The sequence below is a fragment of the Homo sapiens genome, chromosome 15 (assembly GCF_000001405.40).
Source record: "Homo sapiens chromosome 15, GRCh38.p14 Primary Assembly".
Lineage (NCBI taxonomy): Eukaryota > Metazoa > Chordata > Mammalia > Primates > Hominidae > Homo > Homo sapiens.
The window spans coordinates 40,212,134-40,236,648 of NC_000015.10; the positions used below are offsets into that span (position 1 = coordinate 40,212,134).

At 42.4% G+C, this 24,515-nt stretch overlaps 2 protein-coding genes and 1 long non-coding RNA gene across 4 annotated transcripts in view, besides 2 other annotated features; 2 read left to right on the forward strand and 1 right to left on the reverse strand.

The window, feature by feature from the left end:
* BUB1B (BUB1 mitotic checkpoint serine/threonine kinase B) overlaps nucleotides 1–8,990 on the forward strand; it is a 60,055-nt gene extending 51,065 nt beyond the window's left edge. Inside the window, exons 19-23 of the mRNA NM_001211.6 lie at nucleotides 366–515; nucleotides 1,199–1,341; nucleotides 5,363–5,534; nucleotides 6,323–6,429; nucleotides 8,431–8,990. Coding sequence (NP_001202.5) covers nucleotides 366–515; nucleotides 1,199–1,341; nucleotides 5,363–5,534; nucleotides 6,323–6,429; nucleotides 8,431–8,626 — 768 coding nt within the window. The 3' untranslated portion in view covers nucleotides 8,627–8,990. The remainder of the gene's footprint in view (nucleotides 1–365; nucleotides 516–1,198; nucleotides 1,342–5,362; nucleotides 5,535–6,322; nucleotides 6,430–8,430) is intronic.
* Nucleotides 1–24,515, reverse strand: part of LOC107984763 (uncharacterized) — a 67,810-nt gene that overhangs the window by 40,242 nt on the left and 3,053 nt on the right. The window lies entirely within an intron of this gene.
* Nucleotides 5,295–24,515, forward strand: part of BUB1B-PAK6 (BUB1B-PAK6 readthrough) — a 60,060-nt gene continuing 40,839 nt past the window's right edge. For both annotated transcript variants that reach the window (NM_001128628.3, NM_001128629.3), the window contains exon 1: nucleotides 5,295–5,534. The gene's annotated coding sequence lies outside the window, so the exon portion shown is untranslated. The remainder of the gene's footprint in view (nucleotides 5,535–24,515) is intronic.
* Nucleotides 14,701–14,901: a silencer, noted in NCBI's record as "peak2301 fragment used in MPRA reporter construct". NCBI's record gives its function as "represses an SCP1 promoter by STARR-seq MPRAs in K562 erythroleukemia cells {active_cell/tissue: K562}" and the evidence as "EXISTENCE:reporter gene assay evidence [ECO:0000049][PMID:32103011]".
* Nucleotides 16,371–16,872: an enhancer, noted in NCBI's record as "H3K4me1 hESC enhancer chr15:40520705-40521206 (GRCh37/hg19 assembly coordinates)". NCBI's record gives its function as "activates a minimal SCP1, AML or CMV promoter by ChIP-STARR-seq in primed H9 embryonic stem cells {active_cell/tissue: H9 hESC(primed)}" and the evidence as "EXISTENCE:reporter gene assay evidence [ECO:0000049][PMID:30033119]".

A 24,515-nucleotide genomic window follows, 5' to 3' on the forward strand; every position in this document is an offset into this window, starting at 1 on the left:
CTACCTTCCTCTTAAATGGGATTCAATCACTCCTGTCTTAGCTCCACCCTCAGCCTCACTTCCATGGGTAATTGGTGCTGCCAGTTATATAGTATAGGAAAATAGCCTTGTAGTGTAAATGTAGCTCAGCTTTCTCCTCTGCCAAAATCAGTTTTTATTCTAATTGGATTGTTACCTCCTGTTCTCTTTCCAGCTTATCCTCTTTCCAGAATTTGTTGTTATTGTGTCTTTTATAGTAGATTTATGCCTTTAAAAATATCTCTTTATTATTTCTCTATCAGAAGGGCTGGAAGGAATGTGTTTCAACCTGCCAGCCATAACCATAGACTTAACTGAACTTATTTTTAAAATACAATGTCTTACAGGTATCTTCTCAACCTGTCCCATGGGACTTTTATATCAACCTCAAGTTAAAGGAACGTTTAAATGAAGATTTTGATCATTTTTGCAGCTGTTATCAATATCAAGATGGCTGTATTGTTTGGCACCAATATATAAACTGCTTCACCCTTCAGGTCTGTAATACTAAAAACATAATTTAAAGTCCTGAAGTAGAGAGATTTGTGCTCCATTTAGCAAAGGAATTTAGTACAAAATTCCTGTCAATCTTCTAGAAATAGACCAATTCAAGTATAAGTTAGAAGCATTGATAATTTTCTCGTTATTTTGACCAAAGATCTCTTTGGTATTTTTTTAACTTTTTTTGGTCCGTTGTCAAGCATAAATAAAAGTAGAATTGTACAATGAACTCCCATGAACTAGTCATCTATGATAATCTTAGCTCATGGTCACTCTTGTTTTAGCTATACTACCCCCACTGGATAGTTTTTAAAACCCAGACACAATATGTCATTTTACTCTTCGGTTTGTTCTTAAGAAGGTTTGCTATGGATTTTGATGATAATATGAATTCTCAAAAATGGTTGGAATGAGGGTATTTTAAATCCATTTATTAAGTACCTATTTTGGGCCAGGCTCATGCTTGATGCCCTTCATCATTATGTCATTAAATCCTTACAAACAATCTTATGGGAGATGGCAGTGTTATTAAAACTGGGACATAGACTCAGTCTACAGAGGTGCCTACGTTCCAGTAGAGAACAAGGAAGACTACAAACCATCAGTTTTCAAGGTATTGAGTATAACTACGATCTGCCAAACTTGAGAAATAGTGAGTTTTCTGTCCTTCAATTTCCAGGATCTTCTCCAACACAGTGAATATATTACCCATGAAATAACAGTGTTGATTATTTATAACCTTTTGACAATAGTGGAGATGCTACACAAAGCAGAAATAGTCCATGGTGACTTGAGTCCAAGGTGTCTGATTCTCAGAAACAGGTTGGTCCTTTTCATTCTTATAATTCTGCCAGCTGTCTCTTAAAACATGGATAGTTGCCACTTTTTTTTTTCTTTTTTGAGGCGAGGGTCTCACTCTGTCACCTAGGTTGGAGTACAGTGGCATGATCTTGGCTCACTGCAGCCTCCATCTCCCAGGTTCAAACGATTCTCCCATCTTAACCTTGCTAGTAGCTGGGACCACAGGCGCGCACCACCACACCTGGCTAATTTTTTGTATTTTTTGGTAGAGATGAGGTTTCACCATGTTGCCCAGGCTGGTCTCAAACTCCTGGCCTCAAGTGATCTGCCCACCTCAGCCTCCCAAAGTGCTGGGATTATAGGCGTGAGCCACTGCACCCGGCCAAGTTGCCAATTTTTAAAGCCTTTTGATAAATGCCATATCGAGGAACATATTATGTTAAGAGAGTATTTACCTAAAAGTCAAAAATCATTAAGAATAGTTTAAAATAATTCAAAGAAATAAACACATTGAGGAAATAGATTAAATCAGATAAAAGAATTAATCACTGAGTATTGTGATGATATATGTCAAGATGAGATATAAAATATGAATATTTTGAGGAATATAAAGTGGATTGTTTAGTCATTCTTTGAGTGGGACCAGTGCCACTCTAGCGAGGATGCCAGCAAAATCAAGGCACTACTCAGTTTCATAGACCAAAGCTTAAGTCAGGCCTAACTGACCTGTTAGCCAAGAGAAGTGGGTAAAACCAGAGTTCAAATACAAACTATGCCAAGGAATGGGGTTTAGTGTTCAAATTAAACCCAGTGTGTCCATCAGGTTCAAGGGGTGAGCACAGAGCAGGAAATAATAAATGAATACTAAGGACTGAGAAAATATAGATCACGTTCAGGCATTAACTAGGCAAAAACAGTCCAACATTTTTGCTTTGTGAAAAGTACTAGAGGACTACTATATTCTTTTAGTGATCATTGGTGTTATAGTATTTGAGTAAAAGCAGCCTGGTTTAAAGATGCTGTGTCTGCCCAACCCTGTGTCTTGGGTGAGGTGTTAACTTTGTTTCTGAGGCCACTGGTATACACTAATAGCTGGACTTACTCTTTACATTTCTTCTGAATACTTAATCTATCAGAAGAGATTGAATTAGACTCTAAATTATAGTTAACGTGGAAATTAAAAGAACCCTCAATGTGTTCCTGTGATTGTAACCAAAAGAACCAGAGAATCCCACCTTCTCCCCTGAGATAGCAGAGTCAAAGGCTTTCCCAGACATAATGTAGCAGCATTTCTCATCCAGGGCACCATAGGTATTTTGGGTGAGACAATTCTTTGTGCAGGTGTGTTCCAAGCAATGCAGGATGTTTTATATTCCTATTCCCCCCCACCCACCCAATTAAGTGCAAGTAACAATCCCCTAAGCCGTTGTGACCACCAAAAATCCCCCCAAATTTCCAAGTATGAGAACCCCTGGTATATTTTCACTCTACTTAACATTAAAATGACAGTGCTGAAATTCCCAGGGCTATGGAAATTGGAAGCAGAGGTTTTTTCTAAGCCTTTTAGAATTGGCCATTTGTGGTCTAATGAAGTACGATAACCCTTCTCTCAGCCACTAGAGGCTCTAGGAAAGTCCATAGTATTAAAGAGGCATTGCTTTTTACTTTGTCACTGCTTATCAAATTTAATCAGAAATTTCACATAGATTCATAAGGAATTAAAAGCCAGAAAGGGGCCGAGCACAGTGGCTCATGCCTATAATCAATCCCAGCACTTTTGGAGGCTGAGGCGGGCAGATCACCTGAGGTTGGGAGTTCAAGACCAGCCTGACCAACATGGAGAAACCCCATCCTACTAAAAATACAAAATTAGCCAGGTATGGTGGTGCATGCCTGTAATCCCAGCTACTTGGGAGGCTGAGGAAGGAGAATTGCTTGAACTCAGGAGGCAGAGGTTGTGGTGAACTGAGATCGCACCATTGTACTCCAGTCTGGGCAACAAGAGCAAAATTCTGTCTCAAAAAAAAAGCCAGAGGCCGGGCGCAGTAGCTCACGCCTGTAATCCCAGCATTTTGGGAGGCCGAGGCGGGCGGATCACGAGGTCAGGAGATCAAGACCATCCTGGCTAACACAGTGAAACCCTGTCTCTACTAAAAATACAACAAGATAGCCAGCCGTGGTGGCAGGTGCCTGTAGTCCCAGCTACTCAGGAGGCTGAGGCAGGAGAATGGCGTGAACCCGGGAGGCAGAGCTTGCAGTGAGCCAAGATCATGCCACTGCACTCCAGCCTGGGTGACAGAGCGAGACTCCATCTCAAAACAAAACAACAACAAAAGCCAGAAAGGGCTGGATGCAGTGGTTCACATCTGCAATCCCAGCACTTTGGGAGGCAGAGGCAGGAGGATCTCTTGAGGCCAGGAGTTCAAGACCAGCCTGGTCAACATAGCAAGACCCTGTCTCTACAAAAATAAAATAAAAGCCAGAAAGAACCTTTTGAAATTGCTTAGTTTAGTTGCTTACTTTAGTTTCTGCATATTTTTTGTGAGGAAAATGAGATCCAAAAAAATGGAATGTCCTACCCAAAGTAACAGTGAGTGAGTAGCTGATTAGAGGGCTAGGACACCTTCATGCATGCTTCTTTTTATTAATCTATGAGACATTTTTTCCCTATGCCTCCAAAGTTATATAAATATTTTACAATTACACTGGGCATGGTGACTCACATCTGTAATCCCAGCACTTTGGGAGACCAAGGCAGAGGATCACTTGAGCCTAGGAGTTCAAGACCAGTCTGGGCAATATAATGAGACCTCATCTCTACAAAAAATTAAGAAATTAGCCAGGCATGGTGGCACACACCAGTAGTCCCAGCTACTCGGGAGGCTGAGATGGGAGGATCGCTTGAACCTAGGAGGCAGAGACTGCACTGAGCTGAGATCGCACCACTGTACTCCAGCCTCAGTGACAAGAGTGTAGACCTTGTCTAAGAAACCAAACAAAACACACACATGCACACACTTTACATATATATATAAAATACATATGTATATTTTATATATATCAGAATCCACGATCCCTATAACTATATATATACTATATATATATATATATATATATATTTTTTTTTTTTTTTAATTATAGTATAGTTTTATGGTGGCCAAAAAAGGTTGGCTCTTGTGCCAAGGAAAAATGAGAGCAATTATCAATTTTAAAGTAAAATACATAGATCATTCTGTGCCGTGGAGGTATGTAATTGGAGTAGTTAAAGACTGTATTTAGGAATATTGCACCAATATCAGGAGTTTGAGGGAATTAATTGAGAAAAACAGACAAAAGGAACACATGAAAACCCACTCTTTTCATTTATAAACAGTTCCTATGTCCCCTTGGAGAATAGCATTATTGCATAGGATAGATAAACCCAAGGAAAACAAAATTAATTGATAATTAATTAGTATTATAAAGATTTTTTTAGTAAATAACTGGAATTACAAGTAAGAGTAAGATAAAATATGGTGTTTTACAAGAAATTTTACAATACAGATAGGACTTTATAAAACAGACTTGCATTGTTTTCCATTAAACTCTGGAAGGAAGAATCTAAACAATACTTGGAAAGCCTATCTGGAATAGTAAACAAGAAAGGCTATGACACCTATAAAATTTTAATTTCCTCCATCATAATTCCTGTCAGTGTATAAATCATTGCAATTGTATGTGTTAATGTGTACAGTACAGGGAAGAAGCCTGTGCTCTGCTTCCATACTTACTTTATATAATATGGAAGCTTGATAAATGTTTAATGGTGGCCATGCACCGTGATTGAAATATACTTTGTGTCACCAAAGTGGTGACATTCCTTCCGCATTGGGTGGACACTGCCACTGCTCTGTCTTACAGGTGCATTTTCAAAATTAACCACTGGAGGGAGTTGTTGGCATAGCTAAGATGTACCCAAGGTACCTTTTTTTTTTAAAGACCAGCTATGCAGCTTCTTTCATGGCCTATTTTTATTATCTCCTTCTCTTAAATCTGGGCTCAGAATCCACGATCCCTATGATTGTAACAAGAACAATCAAGCTTTGAAGATAGTGGACTTTTCCTACAGTGTTGACCTTAGGGTGCAGCTGGATGTTTTTACCCTCAGCGGCTTTCGGACTGTACAGATCCTGGAAGGACAAAAGATCCTGGCTAACTGTTCTTCTCCCTACCAGGTAAGTGTAAAACAAGCCTGAGCAAATATGGAGAGGGTTTCTTAATCTCTTTATTATCTAGATAAGCTATAAAAGCTACTGTTTACTGATACCGACTCCTAGAATAGATGACCTAGTTTTCAAATATCACCAAGTCAAGTAAAATGTAACATTTTTGTGTTACAGCATTGAAGAATATACACATACATGTGCAAACACATGACTAACTCTGTAACCGAGTGCCAGGGCCACTCCTACTGCCTACCACCCATGTAATCTTTTATAAGTCATTTTCTGTGATCTTCTCTGTAAAATAGGGATAACAGTCTCTGCTATGTGTTTATCAGAATTGTTATGAGGAGTAAATGAAGTAATGTATATAAAAAGAACATTAGCACAAATGTAAAGTCTTTTGTATGGTGGCATTATATGCAGAAATTCCTTCTAACTCAGCTTTAGACATAAGACATTTGCTGATTGAATATGTAGCACAAACCTGAACTAATCATGTGGACCCCATTTAGATCACAGCTGGAGTTCATGCAAACTCAGTAGGTCTACAAATTTGAATGTGATAGTCCAAATATTTCATCTTTTGTTCTTAAGGATAATTCCTAGAATTGGCTCTATTGATCACTTCTTTGGAGAGCTTCTCCCTTTACTGTAAGGGTGAGGAACAGTCTACTAAAATGTATGTCATAAAATAAACTTAGTTAAGCACTGTAATACCTTTCAACTTCCTACCGAAATAAGCTGCCATGGTAGAGGCAGAGAATTATTTTAGCTGATGGTGCTTTTTGTGATTTCAGGTAGACCTGTTTGGTATAGCAGATTTAGCACATTTACTATTGTTCAAGGAACACCTACAGGTCTTCTGGGATGGGTCCTTCTGGAAACTTAGCCAAAATATTTCTGAGTAAGTATTGATGAATGTCAGGGTCTCTGCCTGTCCCAATAATTTTCTGTTTCTCTTGGGTGCTATCTCTGCTTTGGCAGCCTTAGTTTTTTAATCCAAATGCCATGGTTCCAGTAGTTTCAGCCAGTTTTCATTAGAGTATCAGCAGAGCAGCTAGTGCAGGAAAAAGGAACTGCTTACTAAAAATAAGATTCAAAACTATTCAGACTTCAGGACATCATTCTGAATCTAGCTGTATCTTCCAGACTACAGCTATAGTATGGAAGCTTCCCTGTTTAGATATGTGAAAAGAAGCATTTCATGAGAATAATTTTCTAACTAATTGGTGTTAGCCTTAAATTCCTTTTTCTTTATTTATTTATTTTTTGAGACGGAGTCTCGCTCTGTTGCCCAGGCTGGAGTGCAGTGGCATGATCTCGGCTCACTGCAACCTCTGCCTCCCAGGTTCAAGTGATTCTCCTGCTTCAGCCTCCTGAGTAGCTGGGATTACAGGCGTGCGCCACCATGCCTGGCTCATTTTTGTATTTTTAGTAGAGATGCGGTTTCACTACGTTGGCCAGGCTGATCTCGAACTCCTGACCTTGTGATCCGCCCGCCTCGGCCTCCCAAAGTGCTAGGATTACAGGTGTGAGCCACCGTGTCTGGCCTAAATTCCTTTTTAATAGCAATTATTACCAAAAGTTAATAAGCATCCTTTGAAAAGACTTACATTTCTAAACTATATGCTAATTTTAGGCTATTTTTTATTTAATAAGTGGATAGAACCAAACCAGATAACTGACTCTCCTGGAGAAGAAGTAAGTGGTCTCTTAATAAGCACTGCTTGGTCTCAGAACCTTAGTACTCCCTCAAGCCTGCTCATAAAACTTACTAAGTCAGCCGGGCATGGTGGCTCACACCTGTAATCACAGCACTTTGGGAGGCCGAGGCAGATTACCTGAGGTCAGGAGTTTGAGAGCAGCCTGGGCAACATGGCGAAACCTTGTCTCTACTCAAAATACAAGAAAATTAGCTGGGTGTGGTGGCACATGCCTGTAATCCTAGCTACTTGGGAAGCTGAGGCACGGGAATCACTTGAACCTGGGAGGCAGAGGTTGCAGTGAGCTGAGATCGCGCCACTGCACTCCACCCAGGGCAACAGAGTGAGACTCCGTCTCAAAAAAAACTAAGTATCTACGTTCCACTTTAGCTTATCTTAGCAAATAAGTTCCCAGCCTGTCACCTATTGTTATATTCTTTGGTTAAAAAAAAAAATGAGTGTTGAAGATTTAATGCCCCTTCTCTATTTTCATCTTTGAATAATTGAATTGTACTTTTCTCTTCATTTAATTCAGAACTTGGCCAGTGTTGTCTCTTACATGAACTTTTAAAAATAGGCTTGAAATACAATGTAAGACATATAGGATGGATATAGGCATGTCCACTTGGCTATGGTCCAGGCAGGTCTGGCTAACACAAGCAGAAACAAGTGGGGTCAGTTGGGGTTTCCTAACAGCCCTGCCTTATCTAATAAGGGAAGTTTCTCTGATCAAAAGAAAATAATAAGAAGCAAAGGTACAAACATATTAAGCAGTAGTTAGTTTAGTCAAGCTTACGATTATCAGAGAATTGTAAAGAAGATCCACTACTGGGGTAGGAGAAAGGAGCTGTAGCCTTTTTAATGACCTAGACTCTAGGAAAGTTAGAGGAAATAAAATTCCTTTTTCTTCTATTTGTAGAAGAAAAGTGCTATGTCTTAGTACACAGAGGAAATTTATAGATTTAGATGAGAGATCTTCTTTCCCTTTATGTGCATTGTATCTTGGCTTTTCCCACTATGGTAGCCCTTTTTTGTAGTTCTTCCCTGGGCTTTCAAAGGACTATTTGAATGATCTCTAACCCTAGAGTTCTAGGTATTACCTTACACCATTTTGGTGCATAAATGTACCACTGAGTTAAACTAAAAGGAATTATAATTTTCATATGCCTAATCTTGATGGAAATGGTTTTATATATTTTTAGGCTAAAAGATGGTGAATTGTGGAATAAATTCTTTGTGCGGATTCTGAATGCCAATGATGAGGCCACAGTGTCTGTTCTTGGGGAGCTTGCAGCAGAAATGAATGGGGTTTTTGACACTACATTCCAAAGTCACCTGAACAAAGCCTTATGGAAGGTAGGGAAGTTAACTAGTCCTGGGGCTTTGCTCTTTCAGTGAGCTAGGCAATCAAGTCTCACAGATTGCTGCCTCAGAGCAATGGTTGTATTGTGGAACACTGAAACTGTATGTGCTGTAATTTAATTTAGGACACATTTAGATGCACTACCATTGCTGTTCTACTTTTTGGTACAGGTATATTTTGACGTCACTGATATTTTTTATACAGTGATATACTTACTCATGGCCTTGTCTAACTTTTGTGAAGAACTATTTTATTCTAAACAGACTCATTACAAATGGTTACCTTGTTATTTAACCCATTTGTCTCTACTTTTCCCTGTACTTTTCCCATTTGTAATTTGTAAAATGTTCTCTTATGATCACCATGTATTTTGTAAATAATAAAATAGTATCTGTTAAATTTGTGCTTCTAACATGTCATGTAGTTTTTGCAAACTAAAATAACAGATGGCTTAACTTTGCAGAGATGAACTATTTTGCCATGGAAATTTATATATCCTAGACTTCGAATTGTTACAATAGGGTTGTGATGAGACAGAGTAGCCAACTATTTCTTTAGGTGGGTCTGACCTTCCAATAAGTGGTCTAGACTGAAAAGTAGGTAAGATGATATGCATAAGACCAAATATCCTTCAATTTCAAGTGGCATGATTGTATACATGGCTTATGTTTTAATGTTTTCACTTTTTTGGAGACAGGGTGTCCTCTGTTGCCCAGGCTATAGCCTTGATTTCCCAGGCTCTGGCAATTTTCCCACCTCAGCCTCCCAAGTAGTTGGGAGCACAGGCGCACACCACCACATCTGGCTAATTTTTTGTATTTTTGTAGAGATGGGATTTCGCCACAGTGCCCAGGCTGGTCTCAAACTCCTGGGCTCAAGTGATCTGCCCACCTCGGCTGCCCAAAGTGCTGAGATTACAGGCGTGAGCCACCATGCCCGGCCCTAATGCTTTCACTTTTATCCACCAAGCTCCTTGGTCTATTTATATAATCTAGTGGCACTGCTGCTGGGGTCTTTTGATTAGGAATGTGACTGTTAGAAAGTAAAAGCAAATGTGTTAAACAGGGTTTAGCAACCTTTCAGAAATGGAATAATCACCATTCTATTACATGCAGAATGACTTGGAGGGGGCAAGGGTCAGTGAAGGAATAAAAGGAAATTTTGCTTGAAAGATTTGAGGAAGCAGGAGGTCAGAATAAAACGATAACTTTGAAGTATGAAATAGTTTGGAAGAGAATAGGCCTAGATAAAGTATTGGACTCCCAAAGGGAAGCGTGAATTACACCTGGCCTCAGGGATAGGGAAGAAAATTGGTAGAAAAAGGCAATGAAAATTATCCAACTATCAGCCGGGCACCGTGACTCATGCCTGTAATCCCAGCACTTTGGGAGGCCAAGGAGGGAGATTCATGTGAGACCAGGAGTTTGAGAGCTGCCCGGGCAACAAAGTGAGCCCCATCTCTACAAAAAATAAAAATAAACATAAATTAGTTGGGTGCAGTGGCACTTGCCTATAGTCCTAGCTGCTTGGGAAGCTGAGGCGAAAGGATTGCTTGAGCCTGGGAGTTCAAGGTTTAGTGAGCATGATTGCGCCATTGCACTCTTGCTCCGGGCGACAGAACAAGACTCTGCCTCTAACAAAAAAAGGAAAGAAAATTATCTAATTATCTATTTCATATCTAAATACCAAAATTATCTAATGTTCCTCCTTGCTAGTGCCTTATTTTTTTTTTACTCTAGTTGTCACTGTTACTGCTCTAAGATTGCTGGAAAGCAAAAAATCCTACGTATGTCTCAACTAAAAATATTTAAGCATATATAGTTGAAGCACTGCAACATGACTTGGATCTGAAAGATAATCAACTTAGAAATATTTGCTCTTAACCAAAATACAGCTCTCCAAACATTCTCACATTTGCTTCTTATACTGATGATGTAAAATGATATATCTGTATCTTTTACATAATCAAGCCCCTCTCCTCTCTGCTCTCCTCATTTCTCAGTTCACTGTGTTGACACATGAAGTTATTACTCTGAGACTGGACAGAAAATTTAGATTTATTCTTAATATAGGCTTAGCTACTATGTAGTGAATAGCAACCTTGACAGCAGGCTGCTGTGAAGTAAAGCTTTGTTTCTGGAGTAGGCTGTGAGGAAAGGGAGGGGAATCTGAGGAAACTACTTTGTTAGAGAACTTGCATCTGTTTTGCCACCCCTCCCTTCCATTCCAATCTCTTCCAACCCCAGCCCTTTGTAGAGAGGAGAAAAGTTTACCTGACCATTTAGGACTTACAATTGTCTTAGGTTTTCAGTTTGCCTAAGCATAAAACCACAAAGTGAGATCCTTTACATTTCCCTTATATTTTATGCTTATTTGTCTTGGGAGAAGGAAGCCTTTCCTTTTTGGCAGAAGTTTCAAATGGTTCTTATTTCTTGTCTCACTAAGGCAGTAATAGCATAGTGATGGACCTGGTTGGGTAGTGGGGGACAGCTGAAAAGGCAGGAGTTTTACTTTTGTTTGAAAAGAGACCACATCACATATAGCATCTCACCATTCACAAAGTGTACATCCACCGATACTACTCCACTGTTAGAGCCTTCGTCCTCCTATGGCAGTAGTATAAGAAACCTTCCACCAAGTCAGAGTGCTCTAACTGATGCCAAACCTAAACCTGGAAATAAAGATTTTCCTGGAGCAGTAAGACTTCAGACTGTTGGTTGAGCTATTATCTCAAGGTAGATAAGAAAGCCTTTCAGAAGGTGAGCACAAGGTTCTTTGAAATAACTCATTGGTGTCTTTAAGCTGAAGCCTTTAAGCAAAGACAGCAAAGAAATTGCATCTGAAAATGAGGAATTCTTCCAACTGCACCAGTTCTTTCTAATGTGCCAAAATTAGCTTCTAATTTGGCTCCTAAAATAAAGGTTTCCCTAGTGAGGAGAATGCATTTAAAAAAATTTTTTTTGTAATATGGCAAACTTCTACCTTAACGGGGTCCTTGGTTCTACCAGAGACATAAGAAGCTATGAATATTTAATAGGACAAAGATGGCATTTTAAGTCAGTATGTGAAAAGATTATTTAATAACTGGTGTTAAAACAATGGATTAGGCTGGGTGTGGTGGCTCGCACCTGTAATCCCAACACTTTGGGAGGCTGAGGCGGGTGGATTACCTGAGTCAGGAGTTCGTGACCAGCCTGGCCAACATAGTGAAACCCCGTCTCTTCTAAAAATACAAAATTAGCCATGCGTGGTGGTGCATGCCTATAATCCCAGCTACTTGGGAGGCTGAGGCAGGAGAATCGCTTGAACCCAGGAGGTGGAGGTTGCAGTTAGCCAAGATCATGCCATTGTACTCCAACCTGGGCAACAAGAGTGAAACTCTGTCTCAAAAAAAAAAAAAAAAAGAAAAAACAACCCACAATGGATTAAAGCTTGAACTCTATCTCCATTGACACTACTAGTTCATATAGCACCTTCGTGCAAATTAGAAAAGGCCCCTTCCTTTAGTGGATTCAGTACCTCCCAATGCACCATACCTTGACTGAATTTCAGTCCCCACTTACCCCCTCAGCCTGGTACCCTTGTGCAGCAAATACATTGTGCAGTCTTATGCATTGATCTTGCCTGTTTCACTGCTTATCCCCAAAATAATTTTGGAGAAATCAGAAATTTTAATCAAAATACAATGTAATAGATGGTTTTGCAATCTTTTGCCTGTGTGACATAAAAGCAAGATATAAACCAGAAGATTGCTATTACTATAGTAGATAAAAAATTAAATATAGGATGGATACCTATCCTCCCCTCCAAAAAAATTAAAACCATAAATTCAAACTAGGAACATTTACTGGCAACAAATATTTACATCTTTTTTTGCCTCGACTCAGGGATCTTGCTTTGTCGCCCAGGCTGCAATGCAGTGGTAAGAAGATCAACTCCTGGTTTCAGGCCTCCCAAGTAGCTGGGAGTCTCGGTGCACGCCACCACACCTGGCTAATTTTTTTAATCTTTAGTAGAGACAAAGTCTTGCTGTGTTGTCCAGGCTTGCATCCACTTTCATCTGGTCTCATGACTCTGTTGTTCCTACCCACCTCCAGCCAAATCAGAACCCTCCAAAGACTTTACCATGGCCTATAAGACCCCACCCTATCTGACCCCACTCTCTCTGACCTCCTCCCGGACTCCCCTCTTCCTCACCCACACTGCTGTAGGCGGCCTCCTTGTTGCTTCTCAAATGTGCCAACTAATTTCCCTCTCCCTCTCTTTAAAGCCTTTTGGCTTTTAAGGCCAGTTGTTTTTTGGCCTTGTTTTCCTTGATCTTCATGTAAATTACTCCCTTTCTTCCTTTCAGGTAGGTGTCTTCTCCAATCTCCACTCTATCAGAGAGGCTGTCCCTGACCATTCTGTACACTGCACAGAATAGCATCCCATCCCACACACACTGCTATCACTTTCTATCCCTTTTTACCCTCCTTTATTTTTCTATTGCACCTGTCACCGCCTCGTGCGTGTGTCTGTGTTGTGTGTGTGCGTGTATACATACACTTTTTTTTCTTTATCTCTCTACTAGAATTTAAACTCCTTAAGGGTGGGGATTTTCTTTGTTTCCTGTTTGACTGCACTGTCTAGAACAGTGCCTGAATGAATAAAACTGTTTTACCTAAAGTACAAAAAACTCTTAAAAATAAAAAATTGATAAAAGAAACAAAGGACATGAACAATCCACTAAAACATTTTAATGGCTCATATACATGAGATGTTCATTCCTAATTAAATAAAATGCAAAATAAATGAGAAATTGTCATACACTCTAAATGGTTGAAAATTGTATTTGTAAGGATGATAAGAAACAGGCATTCATATATTATTAATTGGGATGCAGATTGGTACATTATTAGAAGTTGATTTGGCAAAAGTCACTTAAATATTCCCTTTAGCTGAGAAATTTTCCTAAGAATTTATCTCACAAAAGCATTGACACAGGAGCTCAGAGAAAGCACTGTTTCTAACACTTGTCCTGTCTGCTTCCAAGACTCGACAGTCCCCAGAGGGATAATCCACGTGACAGACCCCAGGAAGGTAGTGCTTGCACTAGTGCAGAGGCGCTGGCAAGCCATCTCTGTAGGCTTCAGGGTGCCTCACCATTGGCAGGGAACGCCCTTCCAATTTGCCATGAGCCCTTGTAGATGGCAGAACCTGAGAGATAGGCAGACATTTTCAGCCTATGTAGGGAAAAAAGCCGTGGGGAAAAAGTGATTGCCTTTGGTGGGGAGAGTGTATGGGAGTGGAGAGAGGAAAGAATGAAGGCTCTTACTTTTCAATTTGTACATTTATAAGCATTTTGAATTTTCTGACCATGTACATGAATTGCTTTTTTAAAAAATGTACTGGGTTAATCTAGGCTAAGAAATTATAGGCCATGTTTTTGCCATCTTTTCCCTCCTCTATGTTGTAAAAACTAAGCCTTGTTAAGTGTTCGTTTTTTAAAAAACTGGGACTTTGGAAAGCTTTATTATCTAAACATGAAAGCAAGGTTGATATGGAATTCAAATGAAAGTAAAAATAATTTTAAATCATTGAAGATAATATATCTGAGCTTTTATTTTTAGTATATGAAAATTCATGTTTAAATGTTTTATACTGTTCTATTAGAGATATGCTTTGTAACATTACCATCTTCCTACTATTACAACTTCCTATGTCTGTGAACAAATTATGTATCAAATTATGTAAAGTCCAACTCTTTTCAACACAAAATACATTTTTTATGGCTTTCATATAAAAACTTGAGTTTTCACAAAGTGATGTATGTTTAAGAAAAGAACAAACAGTGATGAACTTAGGCTAAACTTCTATAGACATGTGCTTTTTTTCCATCAAAACATATTACTTCCAATAATCTTGCTCCTTAGAGGCTTGTGCGGCAAACCTTTGACTTATGAATAGTATCATCCTGTAAATTCATGTTAGCCTTTCCATAGGAAATTGTGGTTGTCCTGTCAAACTGCTAGTTTTTAAGCCCCTTGTGAGCAGGGGACTATGTGTCTATTAATTTTATATACTCCCAGAAATGAGCTCATGGGTCTTAAAAATAAGTAGTGAATTAAAATATTGGAAAAGAGCAGCCACAAGTTCAGAAAGTAGTTACATTGGCACCTTGGTGAGAGGGAAAGATATCTGAGTGAGTCTCTAGATGTAGCTGAAGGTGTAATCTCACTTTCATTTTTAGTATGCCACTTTATACATGTTTCTTTAACATGTAATAATTGACTGCTGACCTTACATTGCAATACACTTCACTGTCCTGTTTACACCTTTTTCAATTAAATGTTATTTTCACAAGTATATTCCACTGAAATGTGTACTGTATTTCCTATTAAATTGCATCAGTCTTGAAATTAAAGTGAGGATGGCATTTCATAAAAAAATACCAGTTAAAATCTGTGGACAAAAAGATATGCATTTTATTTGTTTTCTTTTTTAAAACTTTTTTTTTTTTTTTGGCATTTTAAAGCCTAGCTGTCTTCCCACCCCCCCGCATCCCCCCACCAAGAGATGGGGTTTCACCATGTTGCCCAGGCTGGTCTCGAACTCCTGAGCTCAAGCAGTTTGCCCACCTTGGCCTCCCGAAATGCTGGGACTACAGGCATGAGCCACCGTGCCTGGCCCTTATTTGTTTCCTTTTGCATTTTAAACAAAATTGAAAAATCTGATAACCCTAGAACAAAGTGATAACACAATTTAAAAAGATGACAAGCATGAAGCTTCAGTGATATTGTCTCATTCAAGGAAATGATAGCTAAGGGTGAATGAGTGTGCAGTGAGTCCAGAGTCCCAGCGAGTCCAGGGGGTCAGGCTGGCAGAAATATGAGTGAGGCAGAGTAGACAAAAGCTAACTAGCGTGGCCAGGAGAGACCTTTTCAGACCAACTGTACCCCATCACTGAACAGATATAAAAGCCATTGCTTAGGACTCACTCAGACCGGCATGTTCAATATCCTAGCATATGGACCAGTGGTTGAGGTTCCATGGTATAGGCCATTGGGGGCAGCTGCATAGCTCCTCCCTGTACCATTCCTCTGCTCCATTTTATTATGTATTGCGTTGGACTTGTCTCTATGTATGGCCTTACCTCTCCAACTCATATGAGTTTGTTGGGGGCAAGTTTTTTTTTTTTTTTTTTTTGAGATGGAGTTTCACTCTTGTTGCCCAGGCTGGAGTGCAATGGCGCAATCTCGGTTCACTGCAACCTCCGCCTTCTAGGTTCAAGTGATTCTCCTGCCTCAGCCTCCTGAGCAGCTGGGATTATAGGCATCCACCAACATGCCCAACTAATTTTGTATTTTTAGTAGAGGCAGGGTTCTCCACATTGGTCAGGCTGGTCTTGAACTCCCGACCTCAAGTGATCCACCCCCGTCAGCCTCCCAAAGTGCTGGGATTACAGGCGTGAGCCACTGCACCCGGCCAGCAAGTTCTCTTTTTATGCCCTGGTTAGGACTTCAGTATAGTGCTCACATTATAAGGGGTTGACTTTACAGGCCCAAGGTCTGCTTAGAACCTTCTCAGCATTGAGATGGCTCTCTGCCTATGGTACCAAAGCAAACACTAGCATGGTGGCTAGAAATTCTGCCTTTAGCCAGAATATCTGGACTTGAATCCTAGCTGTGTAGCAGTGGACAAGTTAACCTCTCTGAGCCAGTGTCATCTATAAAATGAGGATAACTGAAGTGCCTACTTTACGGAGTATTGAGAACTGAAGCTTTAAGTACGCATACTTGTAGATGTTTGTATTGATTTAGTTCTAATGTTTAATGGCCTAAGGTTCTCTGGAAACCTCTCAAGTAATTTGAGATCTCAGCTGGTTGATCGGAGCCTTACTATCTTTTGACTTAATGTGCACAGTGTAGCTAAACCTGTGATATAATAAAGGTAAGTGAAACATGTAGTATTCTGTAATTTAGAGATAAGGGAAAATTAGTTGTTTCTATCAGGATAAGTTTCAGGGAACCAAATATTTGTACTTAAAGAGATAGTCCTTAAGATCAGCCAAATACCAAGGTATCAGGAAAGTCCATCCAGTCCCCATTCTCATTCCACAAGGCCGTTTCAGCCCAGAGGACCTCTGGCTTGCAGCTGGGCTGCTTCTGTGCCATGTTCAGAGTGCAGAGATCTTTAAAAGGCTGACTTGGGTCCTGTTTGCTCCAAGGTACCAGGCAGGGTCTTGCTGCCCACCAGCCACTTACAGGTGCATCTCAGTCTTCCCCTCTCCAACCAGGAGAAATGGCTTTCTAGCTTAGGGGCATGGCCTACTGATCCCATTTAAGGCATCTAGTCCCTTCCTGAGACTCTTGTTGCTAGAGCATCTAGCCACACAACAATGTTGCGGTCAACAGTGAACCTCATATCTGACTGTGGTCTCATAAGATATAATACCAAAAATTTACTGTACCTTTTCTATGTTTAAATATGTTTACTTTTTACTTTTATTATTTTTTGAGACAAGGTCTCACTCTGTTGCAGGCTGGAGTGTGGTGACATGATCAGAGCTCACTTCAGCTCCATCTTCTAGGCTTAAGCGATTCTCCCACCTAAGCCTCCCAAGTAGCTGGGACTACAGGTGTGTGCTACCACACCTGGCTAACTTTCTTTTTTTAAAATTAGAGACGGTGTTTCACAATGTTGCCTAGGCGGGTCTCAAACTCCTGAACTCAAGGGATCCTCCCACCTCGGCCTCCCAAAGTGCTGGTATTACAGGTATGAGCAACTGCCTGCAGCCTAAATATGTTTAGATACACAAATGCATACCTTTGTGTCACAACTGCCTACTGTATTCAGTACAGTAACGTGCTGTGCAGGTTGTAGCCTAGGGGCAAGAGGCTACACCATATAGTCTAGGTGTGTAGTAGGTTTAGACCATCTAAGTTTGTGTAACTACACTCTGATGTTTGCACAATGAAACTACCTAACAACGCATTTCTCAGAATGTATCTCTCTCATTAAGCTAGTATCTGTCATTAAGCAATGCACGACTGTATTTCTATTTTATGCTCTCCTACATCCCTCACCTGAGCCAATGAATAAAAGGCGATCACTTGCTTAATAGGAAAAAGGAAAGGGGAAAATAATAGGAAGCCCTGTGAACTCAATTCAGGAACTGGAAAACCTGGGCTCAACAGCTGCTTAGATTAGGTCACTGCCTTTGCTTGCCCATCTAAACTATTACTGATGGCTCCTACCCCAAAGGGTTCTTATGAGAATGAACACAAGACAGGAGGTGAGCATGGAAGTTCCTTGGCTTAGAACAAGCAGTGTCTGCTTCCCCAGCATCCAGCCCAGGGCAAGGCACATGGGAGGCAGTAGGAGCTGGTGCAAACCACTGGTGAATCTAAGCCACTGTTGAGAGAGATGCCTGACATTCTTATTCACTCAGGCCTGCAGCTGCAACCTGTTGACTCCTGTTTTACTCTTTGTTGAACACAGAAATGTGTTCATTTTTGCCCTCCAGGGCAGCAAATAATATCTTGGAATGTGGCAAAAAAGATAAGCCCCTATATATTAAGTTTTACTGTGGCCTCCACAGTGATGATGGATACCACGAAGAATATAACAAAATGTAAGGCATGCTCACTCCCTTCAGAGAGCTTATAATTTGGAGAAACAGGCCACAACACTTTTTTTTTTTTTTTTTTTTTTTTTTTGAGACGGAGTCTCGCTCTGTCGCCCAGGCTGGAGTGCAGTGGCGCGATCTCGGCTCACTGCAAGCTCTGCCTCCCGGGTTCACGCCATTCTCCTGCCTCAGCCTCCCAAGTAGCTGGGACTACAGGCGCCCGCCACCACGCCCGGCTAATTTTTTGTATTTTTAGTAGAGACGGGGTTTCACCGTTTTAGCCGGGATGGTCTCGATCTCCTGACCTCGTGATCCGCCCGCCTCGGCCTCCCAAAGTGCTGGGATTACAGGCGTGAGCCACCGCGCCCGGCCCAGGCCACAACACTTAAAAGCCAAGATAATATATGAGAGAAATAAGTCAGTCAAAAACGGACATCTCGAGGGAAGCCATGAGCAGTAGCTGATGGAGTGGAGCGGTGTATATGTTAGACTGAACTAAGGGCTAGTGTGGCATGATAGGGGCTGGAGCTGGCTTATATTAGGTAGTTTTCAGCTGCAGAAAAACCCAGAAGAACAACCAAAATATCTTAAGTGGTAAGAATATCTGTTATTTCACATAACAGCAAACCTGGAGCTCAGAAGTTCATGCGGGGCCCAAGTTGTTTCCACCTGCCTATTCCTCCGTCCTCAGCATGCTGGCTTTTGTCCTCGAGCTGGTTCCCTTGTGGGTCTCAGTTGGCTACCACAGTTCCAAGTTCCTGAACAACTTGGAGCAGCATAAGAAAACTTTCTCCCAAAACCCTCCCAGCTGGCTTCCTCGCGTGTCTCTTGGCCAGATTGTCACATATGTGAGCCTACACCAATCCCTGGCAAAGGGAAGGGCGTTACCAAGATTGGTTTAAACTTAAGATTCACCCCTAAGGGCTGGGGCTGGGGAGGGGCCTTTCGCTGGGTACACAGTTAGGAGAGGAGTGTACATTCTAATAAATTGGGTTTCTTCCAGCAAGGGTGGTGAGATGGATTTAGAAAGGCAACCAAGCTGGGCATGGTGGTTCACACCTGTAATCCCAGCTACTCACGAGGCTGAGGTGGGAGGATCAGTTGATCCCAGGAGTTTGAGGTTACTGTGAGCTATGATGGCACCAATACACTCCAGCCTGTGTGACAGAGAAAGACCTCATTTTTTATTTTATTTTTTCTTAAAAAGCAAGCAAGTGTCTGCTATATAGGTAATGTTGTTGGGAAGGAGAAAGGAAGGATTTGGTAACACAATAGCATCCTAAACTCTGAAACGGATCGCCTGGGTTCAAACCCATGTCTTGTCATTTAATGACCTGAGTAAGTAAGTTAACACCACAATGCCTTAGTTGCATCATCTCTGAAATGGGATTATAATGGTTCCTACCCAGATTATAAATTTCATGGGGACAGGGTCTCATCTTGCTCACTGAGTTCTCCCCAGCACCTAGCAGAAAGCATTGTACCTAGCAGGTACTCGGTAGATATTTGTTGAATGGGTTAATTGTATTGTGAGGATTAAATGAGTTAGTGTATGGCAAGGGTTCAGCACAGCACATAATCTAAAGTATGTGCTCAAAAAAATAGTGTTTCACTGCAGGCTTTGTAGAGACCTTTGGAACCCTCTTTGAGTGGTCCCCAATCTTTCTGGCACCAGGGACCAGTCGCATGAAAGACAGTTTTTCCACAGATGGGGGATGGTGGGGGATGGTTTCGGGGTGAAACTAAATTCTCAACCTAGATCCCTTGCATGCGTAGTTCACAATAGTGTTCGCATGCCTATGAAAATCTAATGCCCCTTGCAGGAGGCAGAGCTCAGGCAGTAATGCATGCTTGCCTGCTGCTCACCTCCTACTATGCAGCCCGGTTCCTATCAGGCCACAGACCAGTACCAGTCCACAGCCCAGGGGCTGGGGACCCCTGGGGTGTCTTCTGGCTCCTTTGCACTACCTATGCCACCAGGCTTAGCAGCAGTCCTAGAAACAGGTGTATCAAGAAGACTCTGCTCCTGGTGGGCTGGGGCTGAGATGGCAGAGGCCCATCCCATCATATGCCAGAAAGAGGACACACTTGTGAGTCCAGGACTTGGGACTCTACAGTTTGCAGCTCTGCTCAGACTGGCTTCTGGGCAGCTCCTCACTTTGCCATTAACTCCTCAGAGTCAAGCCCCAGATGCCCCTTGGACCAGCCCCACTCCTAAGGTCATCTGGTCAGGGTCTGCAGGGGTGACGCTTTCACTGACAAAAGGATTTTAATTTTGGTCCTATCCCTAGTGTAGTCCCAGCCAGTCTTTGGTAGTCACCCACTTTTCCTGCTCTGACAGAGATGGGCCAGCCCCTCCCATAGGGGCTGCTCCCGGGAAAGGCTCATCCACAGGCTAGGCCTCTGCCGGGCCTGCTGCCAGCCACTGAGCCTTTGGCGATTGAGAGCTGACTCCCGACTGAGGTGTAGGCCTCCGTCCAGCCAGCACAAAGGGAGGCACATCCCTTGCAGCAGTACCCACAGCCCCTGTCACGGCAGGCTGTGGCCAGACCCTGATTGAGTGGCTCCCTCTCAGCCATCTGTTCAGTCACCCAGAAACAAGTCAAGTCAAAGCTCCCAGTGAGTTCCTGCCTCAGCCATTTGGTGTCACAAGGAAAGCCAGGGCGTTGCCACTTCCTGATTTGGGACAAGATGTGTAAATGCATTGAGCCTCAGACTCCTTATCTGTAGAACTTGGGGTAATGATAACTACTTCATGGTGTTTTAAGAATTCCATGGAATCACAGATGGAAAGAGCCTAGATGTACTATGCCTGACTCGTTGGAGACTTCACATAAAAGGGTTTTCAGCTGCTGCCACCCCCATCTTTTAAGTATTTTCACAATTCCATACACCTGTTCCTGGCAAAAAGAATTTCATTCCCTGTTCACTTACTTGAAAACCCCTCTTCTTTTTTTTCGAGAGAGAGGGTCTCACTGTGTTGCCCAGGCTGGAGTGCAATGGCCAAATCTCAGCTCACTGCAGCCTCAACCTCCCACGTAGATGGGACTACAGATGTGCACCACCATGCCTGGCTAATTTTATTTTTTGTGAGACGAGGTCTGTTGCCCAGGCTGGAGTGCAATGGCCAAATCTCAGCTCACTGCAGCCTCAACCTCCCAAGTAGATGGGACTACAGATGTGCACCACCATGCCTGGCTAATTTTATTTTTTGTGAGACGAGGTCTCACTGTTGCCTAGGCTGGTCTCGAATTCCTGGACTCCAGCAATCCTCCCGCCTTGGCCTCCCAAAGTGCCAGGATTAAGGCACGAGCCACCACGCCCAGCCTGAAAACCCGTTTTCCTGAGGGAAAACTGTTCTGGAAGTCAACAGCAGAGTCGCTTGCCAGGGCCACTTCTAATATTGATGAGATTCTGGCCTGTGCTCCCCTCCCTCATATCTTGTGTAGCATTGTGACTAGAGATTGGGTAAAAAGGGAAGACCTTGCCAAATGTTGCCCACCTGCTACCCTCTCCGGCTGTCTGCTGACGTTGGCCACTTGAGTCTCTTGTCACTGACTGTGCCCACCCTTGGCCCCTGCCAGCATCCTCCACACACCTTGCCCACAGGAGGACAGCTGGAGCAGGGCCACAGGGGAGGGCATGCAAGGGACCTATCTGACAAGGCCCTGAAACTTCCTTCCCACTGAGGACCCCAGGACTTGACCTAGTCATCCCCCACTTTGCTGCCAATACTTTGGGAGCAGGCAGATGTCCAGGAAGCGTCTGTTCCTCTGTACCCTCCCTGCCAAGGAAGGAGCTTGAGAAAAATCTCTTGAAGGTAGAGCCCCTGCTTCTGGCCTAGCTCTCCCGGAGGCGCAGGGCTGACGAGTGCCGCCAAGGTAAGACCAGCTCTGGAGTGTGGGATATACAGGCCTTCAGTGGCAACACCTGCTCATTAATCAAGCCCTTCCTTTCCGGAACCTGCCCTGGCTTGGGATGGTGGGAAGGAAGGAGAACAGAATCTGTTCCTCCCTTCCTGGCCCTGCGGTGAGAGGCGCTGACTAGTGTAGGTGGGTGGAGACAGGCCCATCAGAAGGCCTGAGTGAGGCACCCTCTGTACATGCAGCACAAGCGGGTGTGGAGTGTGGGGAAGCATCTAAAGATCTAGAAAAATTTGGCAGCAAAGGAATTTTACCCACACACTGGAGCCCTAGGCTTTGTTTCTAAAAGTTTTTATTATTCTTTAGGAAAACTTGGGAAGCACTAGTTTATGAAAATTTTTAGAACTTCATTGCTACATGGCCTTTCCAAACACATCCCCAGATGGTTTCTTTAAAACCATGCAGTGGGACAAGGTTGATATAAACAGTTGTTCCAGCTGAATCCAACTCACCAAAACGGTGCAGGTGAGGCAAATTACTTTTGAGACTGCAAGTACTGTATATGTCCATTAACAAAAACACAGTAAAAGACTTTAAGAAATTGTAAGGACACTGGCTTGACTGATTCATGCGGCTGCAAATCCCTGGGAGCCAAGATTCAAAGGCAGAAATGTCTGTGGTGACAGCACCACCACTGCCTTTGTCCAAATTACAGATCTGTCACACTCAGAGCTTGCTGCTAGCATGGGGCTGCCGTCGGCAGCAAAGGGAACTTCATGGATCTGTGAGGAGGAACAGCTGAGTTCCTGACTGCCTTTAATTTTCTCTGAGGCTTTGCTGAGTCACCTAATCTCTTGGGGCTGTGGTTTTCTCACCTGTAGAAGGAGGGACAGGGCTGATATCCCTAGAGTGCCTTTCAGCTCTGGGATTCACGCATTCTAAGGAGGGTGGCTAGAGCACAGAACCTCTAAAGATGTTCATTCATTCCTTCAACAAAGTTTACATGAGCACCTGCCATGTGCTAAGCACCAGGGCCGACCACTGGCCCAAAAACACAGGCATCTGCTGGCCTGCCCACTGCAGCAGCAGCCATACCTTTGCAGGCCGGTGGAGCCCCCCTTTCTACAGCCTGTGGAAAAAATGGTTCTAAATTTGCAGATCCTCTCATCAAATCAGGAAGTCAAGAAACATGATAGAATAGAGGAACTGGTCTCAGTTTGCACAGGCCATCAGTTTCACAAGACAGGAATCGAATATCAACAGTGGCTGATTATCACACTCAGGAATTGAAAATAATTAGAAAAAGAGGCAAAGATGCTGTGGCAATCATTGGCTGGTCCCCTTTGGTCTCCAGCACCCATTCCCCTTTGGTTTAGTAACAGCACCCTAACTTTCCTCCCTATATCGTGTGATAACAGAAGCACTCTCTCCAGGATACCCTCCCTGAGAGACAGGCATATGACCTGAGCCAGCCAATCAGACTCCTTCCCTGCAAGGATGCACTAGGTGGACAGCATGGTGGGAGCATCTCTCATCCAGGCAGGGGTGATCTGTGGGACTGCAGTCAGTCCTGTTGCTTAGAGACCCCAGGACTGCCATAGCTTCTGTCCTGGACTTGATTCTCCAGGCTAACAGAGAACCTGACTGATGCAGATTCAGGAGAGCTGGTTTGTTTAGTTCTCAGTTCCTTTCATGAAATGGCTATTATCTCTGCTAGCTACTATAGCAGAAATCTGGAAAACATGATTTTTCTTGATTTATGAAATTGTTGATGTTTCTTCAGGAATTTCCGCCTGCTTCTCATAAACTGGCAGAAACTTAGAAATGTTACATTTCTTAAAGAGAGTCATTGTAATTATTATCTGAATAAGATGATAGTGTTTTGAATTTAACGTAATAAACTCTATCTCCTGCCTTAGTGCCTTCACATCTTCATGTTGCCCCTCCCTCTAACAACATTTCTGAAAATTTGAAAGACATGAAGGAAGAAAAAGTGTTTTCCATATCCCCACATTGCCTTAAAGTGGACTTTGCAGAGGAAAATGTTCAAATATACAAGTTTTAGGTACTCTTCATAGCTCTTGGTTTTCTATTATTAGGGTTTGTTTGTTTGTTTGTTTGTTTGTTTTGAGACTGAGTCTCGCTCTGTTGCCCAGGCTGGAATGCAATGGCACAGTCTGCTCACTGCAATCTCCACCTCCCGGGTTCGAGCAATTCTCCGCCTCAGCCTCCTGAGTAGCTGAGATTACAGGTGCCCACCACCACACCCAGCTAATTTTTGTATTCTTAGTAGAGACGGGGTTTCGCCATGTTGGCCAGGCTGGTCTCGAACTCCTGACGTCAGGTGATCCACCCACCTCGGCCTCCCAAAGTGCTGGGATTACAGGCGTGTGCCACTGCGTCTGGCCTATTATTAGTTTTAAAAACATACATTCCTTTATTTTTACTTTTGTA